We start from the raw sequence: 27,833 nt of genomic DNA, 5'->3' as shown, positions 1-27,833 counted from the left end.
TCACTTTATAACCACAGCTTTTTCAGTTAAAACACAGTTTATTCATATTCAGTGTATACTTCTGTTTTTTATTTAGAAGCTCTCTGAATTAGAATTTTATATCTATATCTATCTATATGTGTGAAGATATATTTGTGTGTGTATAATCTTTAGTTAAATACTAAAAGAATGTCTGTCAATATATTTCACATGACCAGTTATACTAAAGAAGCAGAAAAGGATTTAATAGTTGATATGGTTTGGCTATGTCCCCACCCAAATCTCATCTTGAATTGTAGCTCCCATAATCCCCACATGTTGTAGAAGGGACCCAGAAGGAGGTAATTGAATCATGGTGGCAGGTTTTGCTCATGCTATTCTTACAATAGTGAATAAGTCTCATGAGATCTGACAGTTTTACAAAGGGCAGTTCTCCTGCACACGTCCTCTTACCTGACACCATGTAAGACGTGCCTTTGTTCCTCGTTCACCTTCCGTCATGATTGTGAGGCTTCCCCAGCCATGTGGAACTTTGAATCCATTAATCCACTTTTTCTTTATAAATTACCCAGCCTTGGGCATTTCTTCATAGCAGTATAAAAATGGACTAATACAGTAAATAGTACCAGTAGGGTGGGTTACTGCTATTAAGATACTGAAACTGTGGAAGTGATTTTGGAACTGGATAATAGGCAGACGTGGGAATAGTTTGAAGGGCTCAGAAGAAGACAGAAAAGTGTGGGAAAGTTTAGCACTTCCTAGAGACTTGGAGGACACAGAAGACAGGAAGATGTGACAGTTTTGAACTTCCTAGAGATTTGTTGAATGGCTTTGACTAAAATGCTGATAGTGATTATGACAATAAAATCCAGGCTGAGGTGGTCTCAGATGGAGATGAACTTGTTGGGAAACAGAGTAAAGGTCACTCTTGCTATGCAAATAGACTGGTGGCATTTTGCCCCTGCCCTAGAGATCTGTGGAACTTTGAACTTGACAGAGATGATTTGGGGTATCTGTTGGAAGAAATTTCTAAGTGGCAAAGCATTCAAGAGGTGACAGAGCATAAAAGTTTGGAAAATTTGCAGCCTGATGATGCAGTAGAAAAGAAAAACCAATTTTTCTTTTTTCAAGCCAGCTGTGGAAATTTGCTTAAGTAATGAGGAGCCAAATGCTAGTCACCAAGACAAGGGGGGAAATGTCTCCAGGGCATGTCGGAGGCCTTCCTGGCAGCCTCTCCCACTGCAGGCCTGGAAACCAAGGAGAAAGAATGGTTTCCCGGGCTGGGTCCAGAGCTCCCCTGCGCTATGCAGCCTCAGGACATGGCGTGCAGCCTCAGGACATGGCGCCCAGCCTCCCAGTTGCTTTAGCTCCAGCCATTGCTAAAAGGGGCCAACGTACAGATCAGGCCATTGCTTCAGAGGGTGCAAGCCCCAAGCCTTGGCAGCTTACACATGGTGTTGGGCCTATGGGTACACAGAAGTCAAGAATTGAGGTTTGGGAACCTCTGCCTAGATTTCAGAGGATGTATGGTGTATTAGTACGTTTTTACTTTGCTGATAAAGACATACCCGAGACTGGGAAGCAAAAGAGGTTTAATTGGACTTACAGTTCCACATGGCTTGGGAGGCCTCAGAATCATGGTGGGATGTGAAAGGTACTTCTTACATGGCAGCAGCAAGAGAAAAAAAATGAGAAGGAAGCAAAAGCAGAAACCCCTGATACATCCATCAGATCTTATGAGACTTATTCACTATCACAAGAATAGCATGGGAAAGACCAGCCCCCATGATTCAATTACCTCCCGCTGGGCCCCTCCCACAACACATGGGAATTCTGTGAGATACAATTCAAGCTGAGATTTGAATGGGGCCACAGCCAAACCACATCATATGGAAACTTAAATGTCTAGGGATAAGTTTGCTGCAGGGGCGGGGCCCTCATGGAGAACCTCTGCTAGAGCAGTGTGGAAGGGAAATGTGGGATTGGAGCCTCTACACAGAGTCCCCACTGGGGCACTGCCTAGTGGAGCTGTGAGAAGAGGGTCACTGTCCCCCAGACCCCAGAATGGTAGATCCACTGATAGCTTCCACCTTGCACCTGGAAAAGCCACAGACACTTAATGCCAGCCAATGAAAGCAGCCAGAAGTGGGGCTGTGCCCTGTAAAGCCACAGAGGCAGAGCTGCCCAAGGCCATGGAAGCCCACCTCTTGCATCAGTGTGACCAGGATGTGAGACATGGAGTCAAAGGAGATCATTTTGGAGCTTTAATATTTGACTGCCCCACTGGATTTTGGACTTGCATGGGGCCCATAGTCCCTTTATTTTGGCCAATTTCTCCCATTTGGAATGGGTGTGTTTACCTAATGCCTATACTCCCATTGTGTCTAGGAAGTAACTAACTTGCTTTTGATTTTACAGGCTCATAGGTGGAAGGGACTTGGCTTGTCTCAGATGAGACTTTGGACTGTGGAATTTTGAGTTAATGCTAAAATGAGTTAAAACTTTGGGGAACTGTTGGGAAGGCATGATTTGTTTTGAAATATGAAGACATGAGATTTGGAAGGGGTCAGGTGTGGAATGATATGGTTTGGCTGTGTCCCCACCCAACTCTCACCATGAATTATACTAATCCCCATGTGTCAAAAGCAGGGCCAGGTGGACATAATTGAATCATGGGGGCAGTTTACCCCTTACTGTTTTCATGGTAGTGAATATGTGTCATGAGATCTGATGGTTTTATAAACGGGGGTTCCCCTGCACAAGCATCCTTGTCTGCTGCCATGTAAGACATGCCTTCCTTCCCCTTCGCCTTCCACCATGATTGTGAGGCCATCCCAGCCATATGGAACTGTGAGTCCATTCAACCTCTTTTTCTTTATAAATTATCCAGTCTCGTATATGTCTTTATAAGCAGTGTGAGAACAGATTAATATAGTAGGAGAAATTTTTCCAAGAGTTGGGAGAAAATAGGCACCCTTAGAAACACAATGGAAGCAGATTTTTGTTAATGTGAGTTGAGTAAGTTTATAATTAGAGATAGAAAGTGAGGACTCTGATCTTCACCATGCAGGAACAACATGAACACATACAAGAGGAATCAGCAGGACGTGGACTATGCAAGAAGAAAAAGAATACAGGGGGCATCAGAACAGGCTGATCTTTCATCTGTAGCTGGTACTCCACTGTATATATTCCTAGTAGTCCATGTGTTAAATGATGTAGCTACTTAGCAAAGGTGTATATATTTCTTGTTTTAAAGTATGAGTCCAATCATCCTCACCTAATCTATTATTTTCATAAAAACCCTGGAAAACAAGTCTCCTACCCCAAGAAACAAATCTTATGTCAGGATATGCTGTACATTGTATATTCATAATCACGTATGTTTTCATTCAACCTATCCAGTCACAGCTTTCTGATAGCATTGAGTGGAAACTTCTGCGTGTCAGAAGCCTGAGAAAGAAAAAAAATTATATATAACTTTCCTATACCAAGGAGTGGGATGTGCCTCAGTAATCATGCTTCTTTTTCTGTTACATATGGAGGACCCTGGTGTCATTCCTGATTCTGTTCATTCCCTTGTAACTCATCACCTGACACTCTGTCACCAAGCTTCATAGGATCCACCTCAAAAACATAACCTAACTTGACCACTTCTGACTAATTCTGCAGTTACCATCCCCATCTGAGTGACCCCGTAGTGGCCCCTCAAATGGACTCCTGGATTCTGCATATGCCCTCATATTCTTTTCACCCTCAACAGCTGAAATAATCTTTTAAAAAGTAACATTCATATTGTATCATATTCCTCCTCCAAATTTTCTAGTGATTTTCCACTATAATTTGAGTATAACTCAAACTCCTTGCTGGAACCCAGAAGGCTCTTTATGTTTGGCCCCTGATTCTCTCCCCAGCTTGATCTCTTACCTCTCTCTCCCTGGCTCACAATTGTCCATCCACAAGGGTCTTCTCTCTGTCCCTTGACCATGACATGTTCCTTTCTTAGGATATTTGTACTCAAGAGTCTTCTCTGCTTGCAGTGTCCCCCTCTGATGCCTTTGCATGGCTGGCTGCTTCTCCACATTTACGTCTTAATGGAAATCTCACCTCTTCTGAAAATGTTTTTCCTATTACCCACATCTACAGACGCCAAAGACAGCACACCCACTCCTGTCTTCCAGTCAGTCTCTATTCCACTACACTGCTTTATCATCTGCATAGTAATGATTGCTATGTGGAACTGCATTATATCTGTGCATATGTTTGCAGATGTCTGTGTTTGTCATCTATCATCCCTCCCCACCCCATACACATGAGACATCATCTTTATGAGGGCAGCAACTTTATCTGTCTTCTTTCCCGCCACATCCCCAGTGCTTAGAATAGGGAACAGCACATAGTAGGAAGTGTCTGGCAGATACTAGCAGCTTAGTAAACTCTTGAGTGATGTGTAAAGCATATTTATATAGTAAGATAGAAAATTTAACTCCCAGAGGTTCTCTTTTGGGGAACAAATTGCTTGTATGGAAGGCATACTTTAATAAGTCATTGCTGTGCAGAACGAGACCCTAAAGGATTCTTAAGCAATAAAAATAGTTGTTTAGTTGTTCTACATGAGGCATAGAGAGGGATTCACTTTATTCCTGAAAGAGAGAAGGAGGTAAAGTGAGAAAAGGACAGAAAGAGAAAATTGAAAGCTAAATATTCCATAATAATGTTGATCTTTTAATGATTCCCATATATGCATCTTGTCATTGCAATATGTGTGCTAGGAATGGTTTTAACCCAGAGAAGAGTGAAGAGTTCTATTTGGCATCTGAAGCAACACAGTCTACCAGGACTAGGAGGCAGAAGAAACCATGAGTCAAGTCTCTGGAGAGCTAGTAAAATCTATGAAGAATGGATAGACTTTGCCAAGTCACAGAATTGGTAGAAACCTGAACATAGTACGTACTTCAAGCACCTAGAGGCAAAGGGCCTGAAATCATAACTAAATTCCATTTATGTTTCTCATATGCTGATTCGAACATTCACTAGTTGAATTCTCTGCTTTCAGTGGTTGAAAATGAATTCTTCCAGGGTCGGAGCTTGTAGGCAGGTGTCTATCTTTACAATGACACAATCTATTGCTATCTCTAATAGAAGACTGGTGTTCTTCCATATTTATAAGCCTGTCATACTTGTCTTTCAAGGTTGTTAAACCATGCGTTGGAGTCTTTTTTGAAAAAGCATATTTAAAAATTAATTTCTTTATTTCCAGAGTTTTCAACTTCAAAATATGTGTAACAAAATTGTAAATGTTAGAAAAGTCATCATTAGCCATAAAAATAATAAGCTCAAAGGTAGAAAAAAAACTAAATGTGTTTCAAAAGCCCTTCTTGATTATGAAGGATAGTGAATAAAAAGATATATACTTAAGTATTTTCTCACATACAATAGTGTCATTGTCCTCTCCAATTGTTTACTTTTTCTTTTCTACAGGATACAACAAATTTTATTTTTATGATACCATGACTTGGTTCTGCCCACTCATCATATTCATTTCCTATTTCTTCAGGAGTGGATATTTGTTTGGTTTTTTGTTTTCTTTTATTATGTTTTAATCTTTTTTCTTCTGCAAACAAACAAAACTCACACATATTAACTCTGCAAACTTGTAAATATTGTTGGCTTTTCTGAGGATTTTTGACTTTAGCAATACTATTTCACTGGACTTCAAGACTAGAGAATCAAGAGAGAAGAAAGAAAGGAAGAGTATGGAAAGTGACTCAGAGCTCCCAGTGTGCAGGCACTGTCCTCTTTCAGTCCTCTGCCAGGGTCCTTGCTCCAATAATGGTATTTTAGCTTCAGCACCAAAGAAACTCAGTTTATCTGTAAAATCACAAGCAATTATTCACCCTTGGCCATGGTTGAGTTAATCTAATGGATTTAAGAATTAATTATCTAGGTAGGAGTGTATGTGGGTGGTTTAAAATGTTTGTACATTTAAAGCTTTGTGCGCTTCTAAAGGGGACTGGAAAAAAACGCCTTTTCCTTTGTAAAAATCATGGAACGTGTACAGGCAGCTATCTTTATGAAGGTCAACTTCACAAGCACTTCTACATGAGTTGAAGTTTAATTGGGCAACTGTTGTTTCTAATTTTCCACAGGGTTGCTTTTAATCCTTCAGTATTTTTTTTCTGTTTTCCATTCTACTTTAGCACTATGCACAATGTAGGAGTAAATTTTTTTGTAATGGTGGAGTTGTTTCCTATATCACACCATCTGGGGTTTAAAGTAAGATTCCAAAGTAGAATAAAAAAGCATCTCCCAAGGTCAAGCTCCATGCTCCAATTTCAAGGCTTCTTTGGCCTGCCAATGACCTATGGCATATTAATGCCCTCTCTGCACCTCTGCATTTTTGTGGTGTCTCAGACCATCTACATGGACATCAGAAATGGACATTTCTTTTGTTCTTGAAACATGCAGGGCCTGGGGGAAATTCTGTAGTCTTCCCTCTTTTCTGTGCCCTATTCAGGAAAGGGACATGGATCTTATTTTCCTAAGTCTTCAGATCTGTCTAGGGTCCTATAACCTCTGACATCCCACTTTGACTTTCTCTGGGAAAGGCGTAGAGTCCCTGCAATTTTCTAAACTTTTTGTTTCCTCTCTGATTCTTTCCTTCCTTGTCAGATACACAACAGTTCAGGCATTTATCCTTGGTTGAAACCATCTTGTTTAGTTTTATGTTGACTTGTCTACTGTCAGTCTCTCATCACTAGAAACTAAAGTCCATGAGATCAAGACTTCTACCTCATTCACTTCAATATTCCCAGTGCCTAGAACAGTAGCTAGCACACAGCAGGCACTCCAAATATTTTTGAATAAATGAATGGATTAGGGGCCATTTTATTTAGTCGTAGATAGGATGACTTAAAGAGAACAAACCGGATCAATCAACTGACCAGATGAATTTAAGCAACGTTATCAAGTTCCTTTGACACTAGTTTTATTTCAGAGAGTGATGTAATGTAATTTCCATGGATACAGAGGGTACCAATCTCTTTTTGAAAAAGGAATATCCAAGTGACAGGAATATCCCAGAGTGAAAAGTGTTAGATGTGTGCCAGTGGGGGAAGGAAAGGAAGGACATTTAGGGGAAAACAACTGTGGTTATATTCAAAGATGAAATGTCTTAAGCCCTCAGTTATTACCCAGAGCAGGATTCTGAATCATGAGAAACTGTTCTCAGCTGAATATTCTGCTATAGCTAAGAAGGGCAACAAAACTGTAACCCTGATCAGAACCTTTACTGGAAAGTACACATAAACATGTGCAAATCTCCTTTCAAATAATGAAATAATGGCAAGTACAAGGAGTTGAGGTTAGGTTTAGTGGCTACTACTAGAAACTCCTTGGGCAACCTTGATTTCTGCAATTCAAGAAACTTATGATATTGTTGGATAGGGTCAAGAAAAGTGACAATTACAATTATCTCTTTGATTCAAGACAGTGTGCCTGAAGGGGTTGTTCAATGAAGACTGACTTCAAATATTAGGGTCTTTAGTGAAGAGAGTTGAGAGGAACCAAGAAAGACTAGGAAATATAAATAAAGCCAAAATAATGATAACAGAAAAAGGAAATGAAAATATATTAAGCACTAATGCTAAGCTAGTTGCTTATATAATCAAATTTAATATTCACAACAGCTTCATAAGCCAAGACACTATTATTGTCATTTCACAGAGGAAGACATTGGGACTAAGAAATGGTAAGCAATTTCCTAGACTCACACCCCAGATCTGACTTCAGAGCCTCTGTTCATTCCATTTTTAATGATTGATTCATCAAATCTTGTTATATCTGAACTAGTATATTTGCAGGACACCTTAAAATGAAGGAGAAATAAGTTTAGGACAAATAGATTAGAACTACTTCTAATGGCTATTAGTGTGATATGACTTGTGATGTAAATGAGCCAAAGATAATGCTATAGTTTGAATGTGTCCTCCAATTTCATGTGCTGGAAACTTAATCCCTAGTGCAACAGTTTTTAGAGGTGGCACCTTTAAGAGGTGATTAGGTTATGAAGGCTTTGCCCTCATGAGTGGATTAATGCTGTTATTTGGTTGGTTATCAAGGGGGTGTGTTCCTAATAAAAGGATGAGTTTGGCTTCCTTCTTTCTCTCTCTCTCTCTCACCATGTTATGACACAGCAACGAGGCTCTCACTATATGTGGACCCTCAATCGTGAACTTCCCAGCCTCCAGAATAATGAGGCAAATACATTTCTGTTCATTATAAATCACCCAGTCTGTAGTATTTTGTTATAGCAGCACAAATAGACTAAGACAGATAGCTTCTGTATATTGATCACTTGGCTATTTAATATTTCTTTAGTGCAGGCTGAGCAGCAGAGCAAATTCTAATATTTACACATCCAACTGTTTGAAACAAACACCAAATAGCACATTTTTAGCCATTTAGAGCCTGCCTGTTTCGAATATTCTGTGAAACTGTGCCCAATGTCTGCTAGCAAATTGTAAGATAAGCCTGGAGCCATAAAGACCGTAAGCTACAGTCCCTTTGGAACTCTGTATTTGGAGAGTCCCTGTTGTGCTGCTGACATTGCCTAGACACATAACCACCTATTTAATTTCCCTCTTCCTCTAGAGTTCCCTTGCTCTCCTCCCTTTGTGAGTAGTTATCAAGCTGTAGCCTCCAGATAGACTCCTGCTGTGAGGGACTTCCTCACCATGTAAATCCGTCAAAGTGAAGTGCTGCTCAGTAAAGATGTGTGTGCTACTGCCACCTCGTGGTCACATGTTTTTTCTTGATCAGCCCAGCCCGCAGATTTCTAGAACCCCCTACGTGAATGAAAATGTTTTTTAAAAAATGTCTTGATCTTGATTGATATCTGAGCCACTCCTGATTATTGGGGAAACTACACCATTTGGGAAGCTCCTTTATCTTAAGGAATTGATGTCAAGAAGACTAATCATACTCAAAAGCAGCTTTTAAAAAATAAAGTAAAATAGGTTACTTAAAGTTAAGCCTTCTCAGAAACTTTAATATGTGTATCCTTTCCATGGCTCTCAAAAGACCTCTAAACATTGACCTAAAGTATGTTTAATAAGAAATTATCTCTTATTATTATCAGAAAGTGGGTCTTAGTGTTGGAGACCAGAATATGCCACCCCAAAATATGCTTCTTTGGCTTAAGAATTATTTTGAGTTAATTCTTTGGAGAAACTATAGACACAGGAGAAGCTTAAAAACAGAGCAGAAGTTACCATTTGTAAGAGAAATTTACATCTATAAGGGAAATCTCCATTTGTAAGGGAGTTTCCTCTTTGCACTAGCAAGAGAAAGATGGCTCTAAATCACTAGACATTCTTACCTATGAAGAAGGCACTGACTTAAATCTGCCCAATGTAATAAATAAAGTTTCAGTGCCACAAAAGAAATGCACTCAAATATAAAATTTTCTTTTTAATTCTCAGCAAGGCAATGTGCTTCTATAGAAGGGTGCGCCCTTACAGATGGAGCAATGGTGAGCGCACACTTGGACAAGGGAGGGGAAGGGGTTCTTATCCCTGACACACATGGCCCCTGCTGCTGTGTTGTTCCTCTATTGGCTAGGGTTAGACCGCAGAGGCTAAACTAATTCCGACTGGCTAATTTAAAGAGAGTGACTGGGTAAGTTGTTTGGCGGGAAAAATGGTTATGGCAGAGCAGGAAATCAGAATGAGTCTGGGCGGAGAATGAGCAGGTAATTGGAATGAGTCAGGGTGGAGTAGGCAATCAGAATGAGTCAGAGTGGAGCAGGTAATCGGAATGAGTCAGAGTGGAGCAGGGAATTGGAATGAGTCGGGGTGGAACTGGTAATGGGAATGAGTTAGGGTGGAGCAGGTCATCGAAAAAGGTTGCTTTATGAGGAAGTTAAGTTTAAAAGTAGAAGACAAATAATTGAACATACTGACATATTGATTCCTTGAAGAGAAATTTAGAACTCATATCTAACACTAACAAAACTTACATTGGTTTACTCTGCTTTTCCTGGTCACCTCCCCATAACTAGTACCATAAACACCTTTCTTTCAGCTAAAGATGGTATTTAAGGCTGAATTCAAAGCCACCTTTTTGAGATTTTCTCATTTCTTTATCTCCCGTGTATACATGAGATATATAAGATAATAAACTTTTTTTCCTCTTGTTAATTTGTCTTTGGTTATAAGGATCTGTCCCAATTAAGAAATATGAAGAGTAGAGGGAAACTTACTTCTTTCTCCCCTGTGCTGGTCAGGGCTTAAGTCTGAGCTAAGGAGATTATTTTTTTTTTTCATTTCACAACCTTGTTGATCCATCTCATTGAATGTTCCTTTCTGGATGCCTTCATAGCTCTACACAGGCACCTTGAAGTGCAGGGAAAGCCAACATTTCTAAATAAGTTTTAGAAAAAAGAAATTCCTTATGCTCTAGAGTATATATCTCTTACAAAATTTCTTTCTGATTCAGGTTTTAAGGATATAGCTTACTTATGAGTCCATATTAGAATCCATGACTCCTGACTCCATTCATTCTAGATTACTTTATAGGAGCATGAAAGGATAACCATACATCTTCATGTGTGCTCTCTCTTTAGATTTAGATCTGCTATTAGGAAACCTGCCGGGTTAAGTGAATTATCAGTTGTTAATGTTATATCATCTTTTCATAACAGAATAGCCTCATACTTTGAGATTCTTGAGTCAGTAAGCTACCTTTTTGCTTTTTTGACTTAGGATAGTTCTGACCTGGTGAGGTGTGCTCACAATGAGGTTTCCTCTAAAAGTTATTTTTCTACTTTCTTCTGTTAGCAAATTCACTACAGATTGAATGCATTTGGGCAAATCTGTGGGTTACTGGATGAAGGATTTTTATAGGAAGGCTATGGGTTGTCAGTGGCCTCCGTGCTTTTGGGCATGTACATCTAAGGCTATGCCCTTGTTTACACTGACCAAAAAATAGAATGGCTGCTTAAGGAGGGTAAAGCTAGGACACGGGCAGTTACTAACAGATGTTTTAATCTTTCCACCTATTGGCTTTCTGGTAATTGCCAAATGAGGGGGTTTGGCTCGTCTTGCGTGAGCTTTTTTTATATAAGGGTTTTGTTTTTAGGATATAAGAGTCTATCCATAGACAACAGTACCCGACCAATCCTAAAATTTTCGAAGTTCTTGTTTGTCTCCGGCAGAGGCAAGGATATGATACCTTCAATCTCTTAAGCTCAATTCTCTGTTTGTCTTTGCAATTAAATGACTTGTTCTAATATTTGACTAAATAAATTTGGAGATTCTGTAAACCCTTGGGGTAAGACTGTCTATTGGTCTTGCTATTTTCGACCAGAGTGAGGATCTTCTCACTCAAAGGCAAATAGATCCTGGCTGTCCTCTGCCAACAACCAAGTCCAGAAGGCATCTTTTAAATCTACTACTGTAAACCAGTGGTGACTGGGGATCCTACCGATAATAGTATAAGGATTGGGAACAACAAGGTGGGTAGTTTGGACTATTTGATTAATAGCTCTAAGGTCTTGCACTAAGTGGTATGACCCATCTGGCTTCTTTACAGGCAGTATTGGAGTGTTATAGGGAGACATACAGGGTTAAGAAGCCCACACGGAGAAGACATTCAATTATCAATTATAGGTTTTAAATTTACCCTGGCTTTTAAAGGAATAGGGTACATTGCTTTCTCTTTACTATTCCCCCAGGGGTTTTTAAGTAAACATAAACTGGAGGAATCTGTAACTTTCCTCAATTCCTGTCTTTTGGCCATATCTTGGGATGAATGTGTTCTTCATCTGCAGTGGTGAGCAATAGGGAGAGGTGGAATTTTCCATGATTGATTTGGAGGCCTAAGCCTAGTTCTAGCATTAAATTTCTTCCTAATAGATTTGTCCCTGCTTCCAGAATTAACAGAAATTTAATATTAGCTGATTTGCTTTTATATATGACTTTTGTTCTTTTTCCTATTTGGGACATTCTCTTTTGAGATGACCTATTTTTAATTGGAAACATTTGTTTTGTCCTCTTTCTCTCCCTTTGCCTCTCCCTCTCTCTTTGTCTCTCTCTGTTTCTCTCTTTCTCTCTCTCTCTTTGGCTCTCTCTTTCTCTCTCTCTCTCTCTCTCTCTCTTTGACTCTCTCTCTTTGACTTCCTCTGTCCCCTCTGTCATTCTCTCTCCTGTAAGGTTTTTTTTCTCTCTACCTTTGAGTCTCCTGGCTTTACTCTTTTTACCCTTTATATTGCTTGGAGAGTGGGGGTCTAGGTTCTTTATAGGTTCTGGCCCCCTGGGTAGTTTGTTATATGGTAGACAGCAGAATTTTTGCCTTCTGCTTTTGTTTTTCTTCATCTCTTCTTACATATACTTTTGGGGCTTCTCTTAGAAGGTCTTCTATAGGTTTATCTTTCTAATTCTCTATCTTTTGTAATTTCTTGTTAATATCTGGCCAACTTTTAGTGACAAAATGAAGTTTTAACATTCCTTGCCCAAGAGGATCCTCAAAACCAAGACCAGTATATTTTCTCATTTGTTCCTTTAATCTGTCTAAAAATTCTATAGGCCCTTCATCTTTCCCTTGCTGTATATCAAATATTTGGGTAAGATTCTGGGTTTGGGGTACTGATTCTTTAATCTCCTTTATTATCAATTCCCTAAGGTCCTGCATATTTTCTTGGTAGGCTGTGTTGTTATTGTCCCACTGGGGATCTTGGGTGGGAAATTTTTGATATGCTGTAGGAATGTTTTGGCCAGGAGGGTGTTCACATTCCTAGGCTCCCATAGCAGCTCCACGGATCATGCCTTTCTTCCCCTGAGAAGAGGAGAAAGGGAAGTTCTGAAGATCCTTTTTACATTGCTCTATCTCACGCTGAAGTCCTTTTAGGGAAGGGTAGGCTGATAGTGGGCTCTTGGGACGATTCCCAAAAGGCAGGGTTATAAGGAGGGGGGGACAATAGGGAAAGGAGAAGAGCCTGGGACAGCAGCTGCTTTTTCTTGTTTTTGGTTTTATCATTCTAATATTTTAAAGTTAGGCCTAGGGGATTATTAGGGGGAATATTGTTGCTAGCTTTATCCTTTTTATCTCTTACCTTACTTGGGGTATTTCCCATTTTTGGGGTGAGGCTCAGTTTCCCCTACTGGAAATTTCTTGCCTTTGGGGTGAGGCTCAATTTCCCCTGCTGGAAATTTCTCACCTTTTGGGTAAGACTCGATTCCTTACCTCTTTTTAACCCCCAAGATACCCCGACCAAGGAATACTTCACCACCCCTGTGGCTTTTCGTGCCTTGGTATGTCCCAACCAAGGAATACTTCACTGCCCCTGCGGCTTTTCCTACCTTGGTCCCAACCACTAGGGAAATACTTTGCCACTTTTGTGACGTTTCTTACCTTGGTCTGTGCACAGAGTTTCCTAGTCGCCGCTGTATGTAAGGATCCTTTCCCGAGGTCGCCAGCTGGTTTCTTTCCATGGTGCTGAGAGTCCAGGTTTATTCATCACACCAAGTGGGTCTTGATTCCTTACCCCTGAGCCCACCGCAACGAGGCCGTGGGGTGCACCTCCTCACGAGAGAGGACCGGAGACTGCCCCTGGAGGAGAATGGCTTCCCCATACAGGCCACCAAATTGTTAGAAGCAAATTTTCCGTGCCGCAAAAGAAATAGCACTTGAATATAAATTTAATTTTCTCAGCAAGGCAATTTTACTTCTATAGAAGGGTATGACTCGTGGATGGAGCAATGGCGAGAGCACACCTGAACAAGAGAGGGGAAAGGGTTTTTATTCCTGCCGCAGGTAGCTCATACTGCTGTGTCATTCCCCTATTGGCTAGGGTTGGACCGCACTGTCTAAGCTAATTCCGATTGGCTATTTTAATGAGAGCACGGGTACCAGTCAGGGTGGCAGAGTGAGTAGTTTGGCAGGAAGGATGGTTAGGAACAGGTGACTAAAGATGACTCAGGTCAGAGCAGGTGACAAGGGTTGATTCAGGATGGAGCAGGTGATAGAGGCTAGGAGGGGGTTGTTTACTGAAACTAGGGGCAAGGAGACAAAGAGAATGAGGAAGTTAAACTTTAAAATGAAGAACAAAGAACAGGGAAGCTGAACATACTGATACATTGGTTCTTTGGAGAGGATCTCAGAACTCATTGTACTTAACAATTTACAGGCCAAAACCTTTGAAGAGGAATTTATTAAATTCCTACATTTTGATATATAATTGTACTAGAAATTAATAACAATATCCAGAAAAGTGCTAAACATTTGGAAATCAAACAGTATATTTCCAAATAAACCACTTGGAAAATTACAAGAAGAATCAGAGAACTTTTTAATGAAATGGTAAAGAAAATACATAATATCAGAATTTGTATGAACCAAATTAAAGCAATGCCTAGAAGAAAATTTGTAATTTTAAAGACGTTCACTAGAAAAGAAGAAAGTTTTCAAATCAATTATCAAACTTTTACTTAAGAATCTGGTCAAAGAGAGTAAATTAAACTCAACGATAGTAGAAAGATAACAGTAATGTTAACAGTGAAAATAAATAAAATGGAAACTTGACAAGACATAGAAAAAATTATGGACTCAAAAATTGGTATTTTGAATGATCAACAAGATTGATAAACCACTAACTAAAATGGTCAAGAAAAAAAGAGAGAAAGCAATCAGACAAGACAAAGAAATAAAGAGAATCCAAGTTGGTAAGAAAGAAGTCAAATTATCCTTAATAACAGATGATATAATCTTATATTTGGAAAAACCTAAAGACTCTACAAAAAAGCCCTATTAGAACAGATAAATTAATTCAGTAAAGTTGCAAGATACAAAATCGACGTACAAAAACCAGTAGCCTTTCTATATGCCAGCAGTGAACAATCTGAAAAAGAAGTTTAAACAGTAATCCCATTTACAATAGCTGCAAATAATTAAATACCTAGGAATTAAGCAAGGAAGTGACAGATATCTACAATAAAAACTATAAAACACTGATGAAAGAAATTGAAGAGGACACCAAAAATGGAAATATATCCCATGTTCATGGGTTGGCATAATCGATATTGTTAAAATGTCCATACTACCCAAAGCAATCTACATATTCAATGCAATCCCTATCAAAATACCAGTAACATTCTTCACAGAAATAGAAAAAAAAAATCCTAAAATGTATATGCAATCACAAAAGACCCAGAATAGCCAAAGCTATCTCAAGTAAAAAGAAAACTGGGGCTATCACATTGACTGACTTCAAATTATACTACAGAGCTATAGTAACCAAAATAGCATGGTACTGGCATAAAAACCAGTACATAGATTAATGGAACACAATAGAGAACACAGAAACAAATCCATACATCTACAGTGGACTTATTTCTTACAAAAGTGCCAAGAACAAACACTGGGGAAAAGATAGTCTCTTCAATAAATAATGCTGGGAAAACTGGATATCCATATGCAGAAGAATGAAACTAGACCCCTTCCTCTCTCACCATGTACAGAAATGAAATCAAAATAAGACTAAAGACTTATACCTAAGACCTTAAACTAGGAAACTACTAAAAGAAAACATTGGTGGAAATCTCCAGGACACTGGACTGGGCAAAAATTTCTTTAGTAATACCCCACATGCACAAGCAACCAAAGCAAAAATGGATTAATGAGATCACATCAAGTTAAAAGGCTTCTGCACAGCAAAGGAAACAATAAACAAACTAAAGAGACAACCCACACAATGGGAAAAAATATTTGCATCTGACAAAGGATTAATAACTAGAATATATAAGGAGATCAAACAACTCTATTGAAAAAAAATCTAATAATGTGATCAAATAAAAGGGCAAAAGATTTGAATAGATATTTCTCAAAAGAAGAATATAAAAGGCAAACAGGCCTATGAAAAGGTGCTCAGCATCATTTATCATTAGAGAAATGAAAATCAAAACTACAATGAGATATCGTTTCATCCCAGTGAAAATGGCTTATCTCCAAAAGACAGGCAATAACAAATGCTGGCGAGGATATGGAGAAAAGGGAACCCTGGTACACTGCTAATGGGAATATAAATTAGTACAACCACTATGGAGAACTCTTTGGAGGTTCCTCAAAAATCTAAAAATAGAGCTGCTTTATGATCCAGCCATCCCACTGCAGGGTATATACACAAAAGAAAGGAAATCAGTGTAACTAAGGGATATCTGTACTCCTATGTTTGCTGCAGCCCTGTTCACAGTAGCTAAGATTTGGAACCAACCCAAGTGTTCATTAACAGGTGAATGGATAAAGAAAATGTGGTACATATACATACTGGAGTGCTATTTAGTCATAGAAAAGAATGAAATCCTGTCATTTGCAACAACTTGGAGTAGAACTGGAGCTCATTATGTTAAATGAAATAAGCCACACACAGAAATACAAATATTGCGTGTTCTCACTTATTTTTGGGGATCTAAAACTCAAAACAATTGAAGTCATAAAGATAGAAGAAAGATGGTTACCAGAGCCTGAAAAGGGTAGTGGAGGGGAAGGTGAGGGGAACATGGGTATAGTTAATGGGTACAAAAATATTTAGAAAAAATGAGTAAGACCTACTCTCTGATAGCACAGCAGTGTGACTATAATCAATAATAATTTTATTACATATTTAAAAATAACTAAAATAGTATAATTGGATGGTTTGTAACACAAAGGATAACTGCTTGAGGGGATGGATACTCCATTCTCCAGGATGTGATTATTACACATTGCATGCTTGTATCAAAACATCTCATGTACCCCTAAATATTTTTGACAAAGTATACCTACTATGTACCCACAAAAATTAAAAATAAAAAATTTTAAAAAGAGAGAACATGAATTACCAATATCAAGAATTAAAGAATGGTATTCACTGCAGGTCTGATATCAAAAATGAGTAAAGAAATATTACAAATGACTTTTCACCAGCATATTTATAATTTAGATGAAATGGACAAATTACTTGAAAACTGTAACTTACTGATTCAAAATGTAATAGAAAATTTAATAGTACTTTCCTATTAAGATTATAAATTAGATGGTCACCTTATACATAAATAAAAAGCTTGTGTGTGTGTGTGTGCATGTGCATGTGTATAAAAGCTATTATTCTGCAGTATAATAATCTCACTATGATACTGTCTTCCCTTAAAAATAAAATGTAAATCTCTGGATATTGGATATTGGGCTTAGTTAAATGAATATTATATAAGGCTAAATAAGTGAACAATGGGAAGGATTCCCATTACTTTCTGACAATAACTAAAAGTCTTATGTTGAAATATAAATATGAAACTGTTTCATCTGTTATATTCAATTTTTTTCAAGAGCTTTTGTTATTCTCTTAAAGTTTAATTCTCAGTAAACATGTAAGTTTAATTCCTCTTACCAGCATAAAAGCTGAACTCTGCCTATGCATGTATGAATGAGCAAAAAATAAAAAGCAAAATCACGGAAACTCAGCTATAGCTGTAGAAGTCTATGTGAAGACAAGATGACACCAGTTAGTTTCTTTAAAAAAAAATTTCTTTAGTGTCTGTGTCAGTAAACACTGAACCCAGAAAAGAAATTGACTGGCAAGTGAAAACTTTCAAAATCTTACATTCGTTTTACTAGCTGGGTCTACCCCAACAGGCACTTATAATTGTTTAAGGAGAAGCCACAGAGATGAAAATAGACCAGAAAGTGTGAAGGATATAAAAATCATCTCAGAGTTCTGTTCTCCAAAATAGCCTGTTAGAAACTCATATCCCAAGTGTTGCAAGGAGTCTGACAACCATACAAGCCAATTTCACCTTGTTTTCTTGTAATACAACCAGTCAAAGAATGGTGAGTTCCCAGTTTTAACACTAAAAGGACAGCACACTTGTTGGTTCTTACCAGATCTTAGACTCCTCTTTGATTTAGATCTAAACATGGCCTTAGCTATGGCATGTCCTGAAGGCCATCACTTGCTGGGTGTTCTCAGAATAGAGTTTGGTTTTTGTTGTTTTTATTCTGGAGGTGACTAAATAAAAAATGTACAGAACAAAAAGACTCACTGGAGAGCCAAGCAAGGCTATTTATTAACAAACCTCTAAATATTTTGGCAGAATTTGTTTTTTCTGTTGTTGATTTCTGGCCCCCCAATATGGGGCTCAGAGAAAACTCAAGACCCCCCAAAGGAGTTGCCTGAACCTGGCACTAAGATACCAGGTTGGGCCCATTGAAGCCTTCCTGAATTTAAGCTTCTTCTGGGGTGGAACTGGTAAGTCCTCCTGAGCCCCCGAGTCCTCTGTTTACAGAACCTATTCACGCTGTAGGCTGACATAAAACATGTAAAACAGAAATAAATCATAATAAATATATCGAATTCTGTATTTGTGGAAAATTTGCTATAATTCCAGAATATTGCTGAATATCACAGTGATTAGAATAATAGTAGTTTAGGAAATTGAGGGTATCAAGTAAAAAGGAATAAAAATAGATTTGTTCAGCTAAAATGTTGAAGAATGTAAGCCAGGTTTCACTGGAAAAGAGGAAGAGTAGGTGGAGTTCAGCAGCTGAGGATAAGTGGGTAAGGCTTAGCAGGACGCTGGCCTTTCACTAACTTAAGTCCTTAAGGGCACTGTTTGAGCCCAAGCTGAGTTTCTTCTCTTTTCTCTCCACTATAGGACCTTTAAAAAAGTTGAACTATTGTCTACTTTTTCCTGTGCTCTAGCCCACCAATTTCCTGTGGCTTTCTATCATACTTTGCTCTGCTCCCACACAACTGTGAAAGGAAATGCAATTTCCTGTTTTTTCCCCTAACTCTTCAATACCCAGAGTAGGTTCATAGATGTTATTTGGGTCTAGGAATGAAGTGGGGCTTCTCCATTGCCCTTTCCTTCTAAATTAATTAGGATTTTGACTATGTAGGGGAGAAAAGATAATTTTATCTCTACCCTCCATAGTTCTTAGCTGGGATCCCCTCTTACCAAAAGACAAATTAACACGAGAAAAGCAGAATTATAATAACTTGTATACCTCTTGTATATGTAGGAAAGGAAAGATTTCTCACCCATTGCTAGATTCATGGTTGAGGTGCCTATAATAAAAGATACGTTAATAAGTGAAAAGCATAAACATTTATTTAATGTAAGTTCTATGTGACATGAGAGCTTTCAGAAAAAGCATACACATTTATTTAATATGTTTTATGTAACATGAAGACCCAAAGAAAATAATATATATATATTCATCGATTTGATGAAGAGTGGACAGTTGTGTAGATGTATAGTTAGATAAAGGAGATATAATCTAATAGCAATGTCAAAAGACAAAATTACAACAAATTTAAAGATCCCAACTGGCTTTATTGAGATTCTAGAATCTCACTTCATTCCACAAAATAGAATAAGTATCCCAATTAGCTGAGCAGAAGAGGCTGGTTTAATAGACAGAGAAGGACTGAAGAAAGAAGAAACAAAGAACAAAAAGCAGATTGGTCATTTTAGAGTTACTTTTGAGGACTAAACTTTGACCTTTTTTTTTTTCCCTATTGCCCAAATTATTTTCTAAGGGTCCTCGGGAGTCATATTTTATAAACCATAAAATTTTGTTAAACAAGTTTTGTTTCTTTTATTAACCCAGTATAATGTGACTTACTCTCCAACCTGACTCTGGTATGGCATCACATGACAGATAGCAGAACTCTTTATCTTTAAGCATTCCTTTATACTGACTCCAAGTCTTTAGACAAAGCTTAACTCTTTCAAGCAATTGCCAACTAAAGAATCCCTAAAGCCCATTATGACTTGAAAGCCCCTTGTTTCGAGATGTCCCACCTTTTCACATTGAACCAATATATACCTTCCATATATTGATTTATGATTTTATCTGCAATGCCTGTCTTCCTGAAATGTATAAAACCAAACTGTAACTCAACTACCTTAGGCACACTTTCTCAGGACCTTCTGAGACTGTGTTTCCCTTGGCCATGGTCATTCACATAGGCTCAGAATAAACCTTTAAAAATATTTTGGCAGAATTTGGTTTTTCTGTTGTCAATTCCTGGCCACCCAATATGGGGCTCAGAAAAAACTCAAGATCCCCCCAAAGGAGTTTCCTGAACCTGACACTAAGGTACAAGCATGGGCCAATTGAAGCCCTCCTAAATGTGAGCAGCTCCTCAGGTGGAAGTGGTGAATTCTTCTGAGCCTCAAACCTCCCATTTGGTTGAAAGTTTTTGGCTTATTCTGAGCTGTCTGTTCTTTTCCTAGGAAGTTGTTTGGGATCCTAATTTTGATTTGGATGTGCATTTAAAGGGTCTTCCCAGTTGCCTTTTCCTTCCCAAATAATCTCCATTGGCTTTTCTGTGTACTTGCATGAAAGATCAAACTGTCCTTTTTGCAGGTGAGTGAGAGACTGAGTTCCTTAGCTTTGAAGAGAATGGGGCATTTTGCTCAGCCTAGCTGAAAGGTGCACCTGGATGACTGGGGGCCCAGGAAGAGTGTTTGGGGGTGACTCACTGTGACATGTAGTGGTCCTACAGAGAATCCCCAAAAAATAAATGGAAAGAAAGTTTGTGCACCCTTTCGGAGGTGATAGACTTCCAAAGAGAGAAACTAGGACACATAAGAGGGAAGAAACAATTCAGCGGTGAAACACAGTGGAGTCCTACCCGCAGTCAGCACACATTGATCCACCAAACTAAATCATAAGCCTCAGTCCGGTCCTTCCTTTTTAAAGAGACATGGGAAACAAATCCCCTATAAAAGAGGAAACGAAAGGAGGGCTATTCCCTTTGGAGACTCAATCTGGTTTTATGTTTGATAATTATGGTGCTTCTACTTGAAAGTGCTTGTGTAAATGGGAAGATCTTATTAAGAATGACCAGTTCTAACGGTTCCAAAATGAAGAACTTTTGATATTTCCAAATTAATTTTCTTGCATGCTAAATTAGAGCAATTAGGCTGCTGAATCAAGGAAAATAAATGAGAGTCATACTTTAGCTGGCACCTAGAATGATCCAAAAGAGGGAATGATAAACTTGCCTCCCCTTAGGAAGTTAATAAGAAAGTATTTAAGACCATCTCAGAATTGAAGACACTAACATAAGCCACTTCTGAAATGAGAGAGGCTCCAAAAACTGTCTCTTTTTCTATTCCTCCTAATCCTTTGCTCTCTGAAATTTCTTGTTGATATGGTTTGTTCTGTGTCCCCAGGCAAATCTCATGTCAGATTGTAATCCCCATTGTTAGAGGTGGGTCCTGGTGGGAGGCGATTAGATCATGGGGGCATATTTCCTCTTTGGTGCTATACTCATAATAGTGAGTGAGTTCTCATGATATCTGGTTGTTTAAAAGTATGTGGTACCTCTCCAACCCCTTCCTTCTGCTCCTTTCATGTAAGATGTGCCTGCTTTCCCTTTACCTTCCATCATGATTGTAAGTTTCCTGAGGCACTCTTGGCCATGGTTCCCATACAGCCTATGGAACTGTGAGCCAATTAAACCTCTTTTCTTTATAAATTACCCAGTGTCAAGTATTTCTTTATAGCAGTGTGAGAATGGACTGATGCACTTGTCTAGACTATTTCATTTTTCCTTCTCCTCCTTCCCCTATTCCCTCACTTCAAACTACAAAGTGGCCAGAAATAACTAGAGGAGACAATAAAATAGTATTTGCACCTTTTAGAATAAAACCCACCAGGAAAAGGGCTCCTAATGAAACTGCTTCTGCAAGAATTATTGTAATAAGGGAAATCTAACATAACTAAACTCCATTTTGCTTCTACCCTTAAATTGCTTTTGCTCATTCTTGCCCATTCCTTGAACTAACCTCCTCCTGTTCAAAGTTTGGAACTGTATTATAATGACAAATAAAAGACTACAAGGTTAAGAATTATGGTAGGGGCCTGAACTTTACTAAAGAATAGGCACAGTTAAACAGTAACCATTTATTCCTTGCTTAACTTGCGATATAGTTTGGATACTTGTCCCTGCCCAATCATGTTGAAATGTAATCACCATTGTTGGAGGTGGGGCTTGGTGGGAGGTGATTGGATCATGAGGGTGGATTCCTCATGAGTAGTTTAGCACCATTCCTTTGGTGCCATCCTTGTGATAGTGAGTGGATTCTTGCAAGATTTGGTTGTTTAAGAGTGTGTGGCAACCCCCGGACCTCTTTCTTGCTCCTACTTTTGCCATGTGACATGTAAGCTTCTGCTTTGCCTTCTGCCATGGTTGTAAGCTTCCAGAGCCCTCTCCAAAAGCAGATGCCAGGGCTGTGCTTCCTGTACCCCCTGCAGAACTGTAAGCACATTAAACCTATTTTCTTTATAAATTACCCAGTCTCAGGTATTTCTTTATATCATTGCAAGAATGGCCTAACACAAATTTGCTTTTATATAATTGCTTACTGCCCCTGAGTCACATAACTGGAGGTCACAAAATTTACAACTTTCCCAACTGCTTCTATAGATAATATCATTAATGTGAGACCTAAAGAACTGGTCTTTGAGATGTTTTTCTGATTTAGCATTTTGGCAGAGCAAGAGATGCCACCTGGACATGTGACCCATACCAAGGAACTGATTCAGTGGATCCTGCAACCCCCCTTCTGGAACTGATTCACCTGCATTTCTGATACCCCTATGACTTTACCCCCAGCCAATGAATTGTTTCAGTTCCCTGGAGGTAGATTTGAGAAATATCTCCTGCCTCCTTGCTTGGATGGCCCTAAACTCTTTCTCTGCTGCAACGCCTGCTATTCTCCATGTATTGGCATTTTTGGAGCCATGAGTAAGAAGAAACTATCAGGCTGTAACACTAACATATTGTATAAACAAGGGACCAAATTAGAGTTAAGATCCCAGCTATCTGGATTCCCCAACCCGACCCAAGATCCCTTCAGGTTTACCAAAGAATTCCAATTAATGCATAAGACCTATGATCCAGAGTTTTCTGACCTTTATCAGCTAATTGAGTGATTGGTCCCCAAAAAAAAGCCAAAAAGTGGCTTAGGGCTGTGGGTTGAAATAGCCTTTAGAAAATTTTGACAAAATAGATAAAAATGAAGAGAGAGAAGTGCAGGGGGAGCTTTGCATCTGCCTCTTTGAGAATTTACCACAGATATTTTCTAAAGTTACAGATTGGACAAAGGTACAATAATGTAAAATACACCCAAATGAAACCATACCTGACTATGACATTAGGTTTGAAGAAACATCTAAATGACATTCAGGGATACTTCCTGAAAACTTTAAGCATGGTAGAAGTGACATCTTGCTAAGTTCTGGATTTGTGTAAAGCTTAGATGATGAGTTAATGACCTTGATAAAGAGAAACAATATGGCTTGAGCTTCTGTGCCCACTGACTACCTTGTCACCCTTGCTGACCAGTTGTCATAAATGATCATTGAGAAGGAAAAGGAGACAGCCTCTAAGATTGAGTTTACAACTAAGATAACTTAGTACCAAACTGAGACATCACAAGGGTTTCATTCCCCTCAGAGTTTCCAGCAATCCAAAGAGGAAGCAATTGTGTACTATTGCCAAAATAAACAAAAACAAAACAAAGCAAACAAAAAAAAAAAACCCAAGACATCTTAAAAAGGATTGCAAAAAACTTAAATGAGTGTTTGTGCAAAGGAGGCAGAAGGCCCCAGAGGAAGGCACCACAAAAACTCAAGGGAGTTGAGGGATGATCTAAGGGAATATAGAGGGTTTCCCCTCTACTTCTAACAAATACTTTAAGGGAAGTTAAAATATCCATAAACGGGGAAAATGCCAGAGCCCTTGTTGACACTGGTGCTACGCTTTCAGTCCTTAACCCTACCTTAATGCAAAGCCCTCTTCTTTGGAATAAAGATAGTCGAAATAGTAGGGGTTTCAAAGTCTCCAGTTATAACTTTTAAATCAAGCCCTCTTCAATTTTAATTAGGAAAATGAATAGGGCATCATGTTTTTCTTATAGTAGATAGTGCCCCCATACATCTGCTGGGATGGGATTTTCTGAAGACCTGTAATATCCACATCTCATTTTCAGAGAAGGGAGAAATGATCCTCAATTTGGGAGACACAGAAGACTTACAAAAACCCACAGGTAATATTATACTTGCTAAAGTTAATCAAGAATTTGAAGTGATAATTAGAGCCTTTCTTATCCAAAGTACCAGATTCTTCATGGGCCAGATATCAAAATAATTATGTCAGTAGTTCCTCTAGAAATAACCATAGATAAATATAAGCCTCTGCCAAACATTAAGCAATATCCCCTTCAATATAAAGCTTTACTGGGAGTCAACCCAATCATTCAGGACTATTTAGACAAAGGACTCATAATTCCGTGCATCAGCCCTTGCAGTACACCAATCCTCCCACCTAAAAAGCCAAATAGAAAAGGCTGGAGATTCATTCAGGCCCAAAGACCTATAAATAAAACAACCCTAGACATCCTGTTGTTCCTACCCTCAACATCTTTCTGTCCAATATTCCTATTACCACCAGCCACTTCTCTGTCATTGACTTATGCAGCACTTTCTTCAGTACACCTGTAGAGCAGAATAGCCAGTATCTTTTTGCCTTTACTTGGGCAGATCACCAATATACACAGATGGTCTGCCCCAAGGGCTATTCCATGAGTCCTACCTATTTTTCTCAAATATTAAAGGCAGATTTAGATGACACTGAATTTCCAAATGGATCTAACTTAATTCAGTATATAGATGGTTTGTTGTGTTCATCCCCGCTGACAAAATGCAGAGAAGACACTGTCCACCTGTTACAACAGCTTGCTCTGAAAGGACAAAAAGTCCACAGATAAATTATAATTTTGTTTGTTTCAAGTTAAGTAGTTAGGACATATGAATTCCCTGAGGGGACTACTAATAAACCCTGAGAGAATCTCTGCCATCATGACCTTTACCATGCCCAAAACAAAAAGACAATTAGGAGGGTTCTTAGGGTTAACAGGCTATTGCAGAAGTTCAATTTCAAATTACTAATTAATGTCTCAGCTCTTAAATAAAACACTGAAACAGACACAACCAGACCCAATCTTCTGGGAAGAAAGCGAGAAACAAGACACAGAGGATTTAAAACAGGTTCTTTCCCAAGTAGTTGCTTTAGGTCATCCCAGCTACAGTCTTCCCTTTTCCTTTTTGTACATAAAATAAATGGAAATACTCTAGGAGGATTAACTCAAAAACAGATGACAATCATAGTCCAAGTGGTTATTTCAGGCAACAATTAGATCCAGTAGCAAGAGGACAACCCCTTTCATGAGGGTCATATCCGTTGTGGCCAGGACAATTTTATGTATGAATGTTGAAGAATTTGCCCTAGGTCCCTGCTAACCACCTATGTCCCCCATTCTGTGGAATATCTCCTAAATTCTCATCACACTCAACACTATTCCGTGAGCTACCTTGCCTCTTATGAGGTGCTCTTGCTTTGTGCCCCTAACTTCTCTTTTAAGGGCTGTAACACTCTTAACCCTGCTAACCTGCTCCCTCTTGCAGATGAACAGTGAGAAGAAAAACACCACAGCAGTCTACTGATATCTTACTCACCCCTAGGGAAGATTTATAGGAAACTTCTGTCAAGAATGCTAACTTAATTTGGTTCACAGATGGTTCTTATTTAAGGGATGATCAAGGGTATTATTGAGGAGGACACACCATCACTTCCTTGGTGGACATAATTGAAAACACTCAATTCCAAGGAGTAACGTCAGCTTCCTAATTCAGTTCCTGGCTGAATTAATAGTATTAACAAGGGCTTTGCAGTTGGCTGAAGAAAAGGTGAGAAAGATATACACTGATAGCCTTTATGCTTTTGGAGTAGCCCATGATTTTGTCATGCAATGGAAACAGAGGTGATTTCTCACCATATTGTGGAAATCTATGCAAAACAGGCACCAAATCTTGGAGCTCTTAGAAGCAAATCAAATGCCAAAGCAGTTTCCACTCATAAAAATTCCTGGGCGTTCAAAAGATAACATTGAAGAAGTAAAGGGAGATAATCCAGCTCATGCTGCAGCAAAGAATGCTACCTTAGAAAGATGGCCTGTTCTATATGAGAATGTATCCTTTGCCCTGCCAATGCTCTCCCTCACTAATTTTCTTTTACAATACCAACAGGCATTAACCCCTTGAGATAAACACATCTGGCAGGAAAGGGGAGGTGTATTTGACCCAAATAGAGAATTGTTGGTAGGTGCTAACAAAAAAACCCCATAGTTCCTATAGGTGCACAATTACCTCTCTTTTAATTTATTCATGAAATGACTCATCGGGCCCCTGAGAAAATGATATTATGGGGAAAACAATATTTCTGGAAACCATCTTTTACAATAGTCTAAAAGGTATACTCTCAATGTGCCACATGTTCAGAACATCACCCTGGCAAGCGCTTACATGGCTTCCACAGTCATTTTCCTTTGTCAGCAGGACAATTTAAAGTATGGCAATTGGATTTCATCCAGATGCTGCTGTCTCAAAATTATAAATATGTGTTGTTCTTGGTTTGTATGTTTTCTCATTGGGTAGAAGCATTTCCTTGTCAGAGGAGGCTTCTGCCTTAATGATAAGCAACATATTATTAGAATCATTCCTATTTGAGGAATCCCTTCTGAGCTACATAGTAATTGTGGGACTCATTTTATTGGACAAGTTGTTCAATCCATTTGCAAAATCTGGCCCATAATACAACACTTCTATTGTGCCTATCATCTTCAATCCTCCAGATTGGTAGAAAGACAAATGGCACAATAAAAACTCAATTAGCTAAGTTAATGGAGGCTTCTAACCTCCCTCAGCCATAAGTTCTCCCCCTGGCATTGCTTAATCTTATATACACTCTTTTTGGAAAACATTGTTTATTACTTTATGAAATAATAACAGAAATACCCACGAGGCTGGACAAGGGCTTGTGGGAGCCAGCCTTACTCAAAGAAGAAGTATTACTGCCAGGGACTTCTGAAAACTTTAAAAAACAATACAAAGCTGGTAACAGAGTCTTTCTGCAGGGAGTTCCCAGAGGCAGAAGACTCCAAAGATCACAGACTATAACCAGGTGACTTTGTATACTGGAAAATACACCAACTGAAAGACTCCCTATAACCCCACTGGAAAGGATGGTACTTTTAAGTAACTCTTGTGCTGCAAAATTAAAGGGAGTTGCTTCTTGGATTCACATCTCACACCTAAAATGGGTGCCTGGCCATATCCTGACCACAGCTGAGCCTCTGAACTGGTCTTTACCACTCACCTGTGATCCTGAAAAACAGCCAAGGCTCAGCTGGCCTTCAGAGCAATGACCAAAGTAGCTATTCTTCCAGACATTGAATCAGGCCAGTCCTCAGGAATCCTGAAATAACTCTCATTCTTACTTTCCTTGCAATAGGATATATTGCTGAAAACCCTAAATGTTTAATGGGTATGGTTATTAATTTCCTTGTTAAAATCAGAAGAATGTTTTACCTGCTCACCCTCATTCCCATAATCTCCTCTATTTGCTTACTACACAATCCTTTTCTCTTCAAACCTGAAAACTTCTCCTGGTTCCCTGCAACACTCAGGGAGCCAGTGGTTCCCGTAGATAGATTTCCTGTGGATAGAGTTCATGTTATTTGGTATGACATAGATCATGGTGAAATGATGGCTATAAGGAGGAATGGTTGCACTTTAAACATTCCCTGAGGTGCCCTCTTTTCAGGGTACCTCTATTGTCAGGCTCGCATCAAATATGATGTTGTCATGCCAAGTGTCAGGTTCCAGCCCAAGCTGAGGTCTGAGAGAAGAGGGTGGATGGGTAGTGGGTAGCTGAAAGAACACTTGGGGGGGCGTAGGCAGATGAAATA

At 38.9% G+C, this 27,833-nt stretch overlaps 3 annotated features.

Moving 5' to 3' along the window:
• Window positions 8,685-8,744: a silencer, noted in NCBI's record as "silent region_4613". NCBI's record gives its function as "represses an Ori minimal core promoter by ATAC-STARR-seq in GM12878 lymphoblastoid cells {active_cell/tissue: GM12878}" and the evidence as "EXISTENCE:reporter gene assay evidence [ECO:0000049][PMID:35858748]".
• Window positions 8,805-8,854: a silencer, noted in NCBI's record as "silent region_4612". NCBI's record gives its function as "represses an Ori minimal core promoter by ATAC-STARR-seq in GM12878 lymphoblastoid cells {active_cell/tissue: GM12878}" and the evidence as "EXISTENCE:reporter gene assay evidence [ECO:0000049][PMID:35858748]".
• Window positions 9,379-10,578: an enhancer, noted in NCBI's record as "CDK7 strongly-dependent group 2 enhancer chr12:63812284-63813483 (GRCh37/hg19 assembly coordinates)". NCBI's record gives its function as "activates an origin of replication core promoter dependent on BRD2, BRD4, P300/CBP, MED14 and CDK7 cofactors, with strong dependence on CDK7, by STARR-seq in HCT116 cells {active_cell/tissue: HCT116}" and the evidence as "EXISTENCE:reporter gene assay evidence [ECO:0000049][PMID:35650434]".

This window comes from Homo sapiens, chromosome 12 (assembly GCF_000001405.40).
Source record: "Homo sapiens chromosome 12, GRCh38.p14 Primary Assembly".
Classification (NCBI taxonomy): domain Eukaryota; kingdom Metazoa; phylum Chordata; class Mammalia; order Primates; family Hominidae; genus Homo; species Homo sapiens.
Note: the sequence above shows the minus strand (reverse complement) of the source record. Positions and strands in the feature narration are given on the sequence as shown.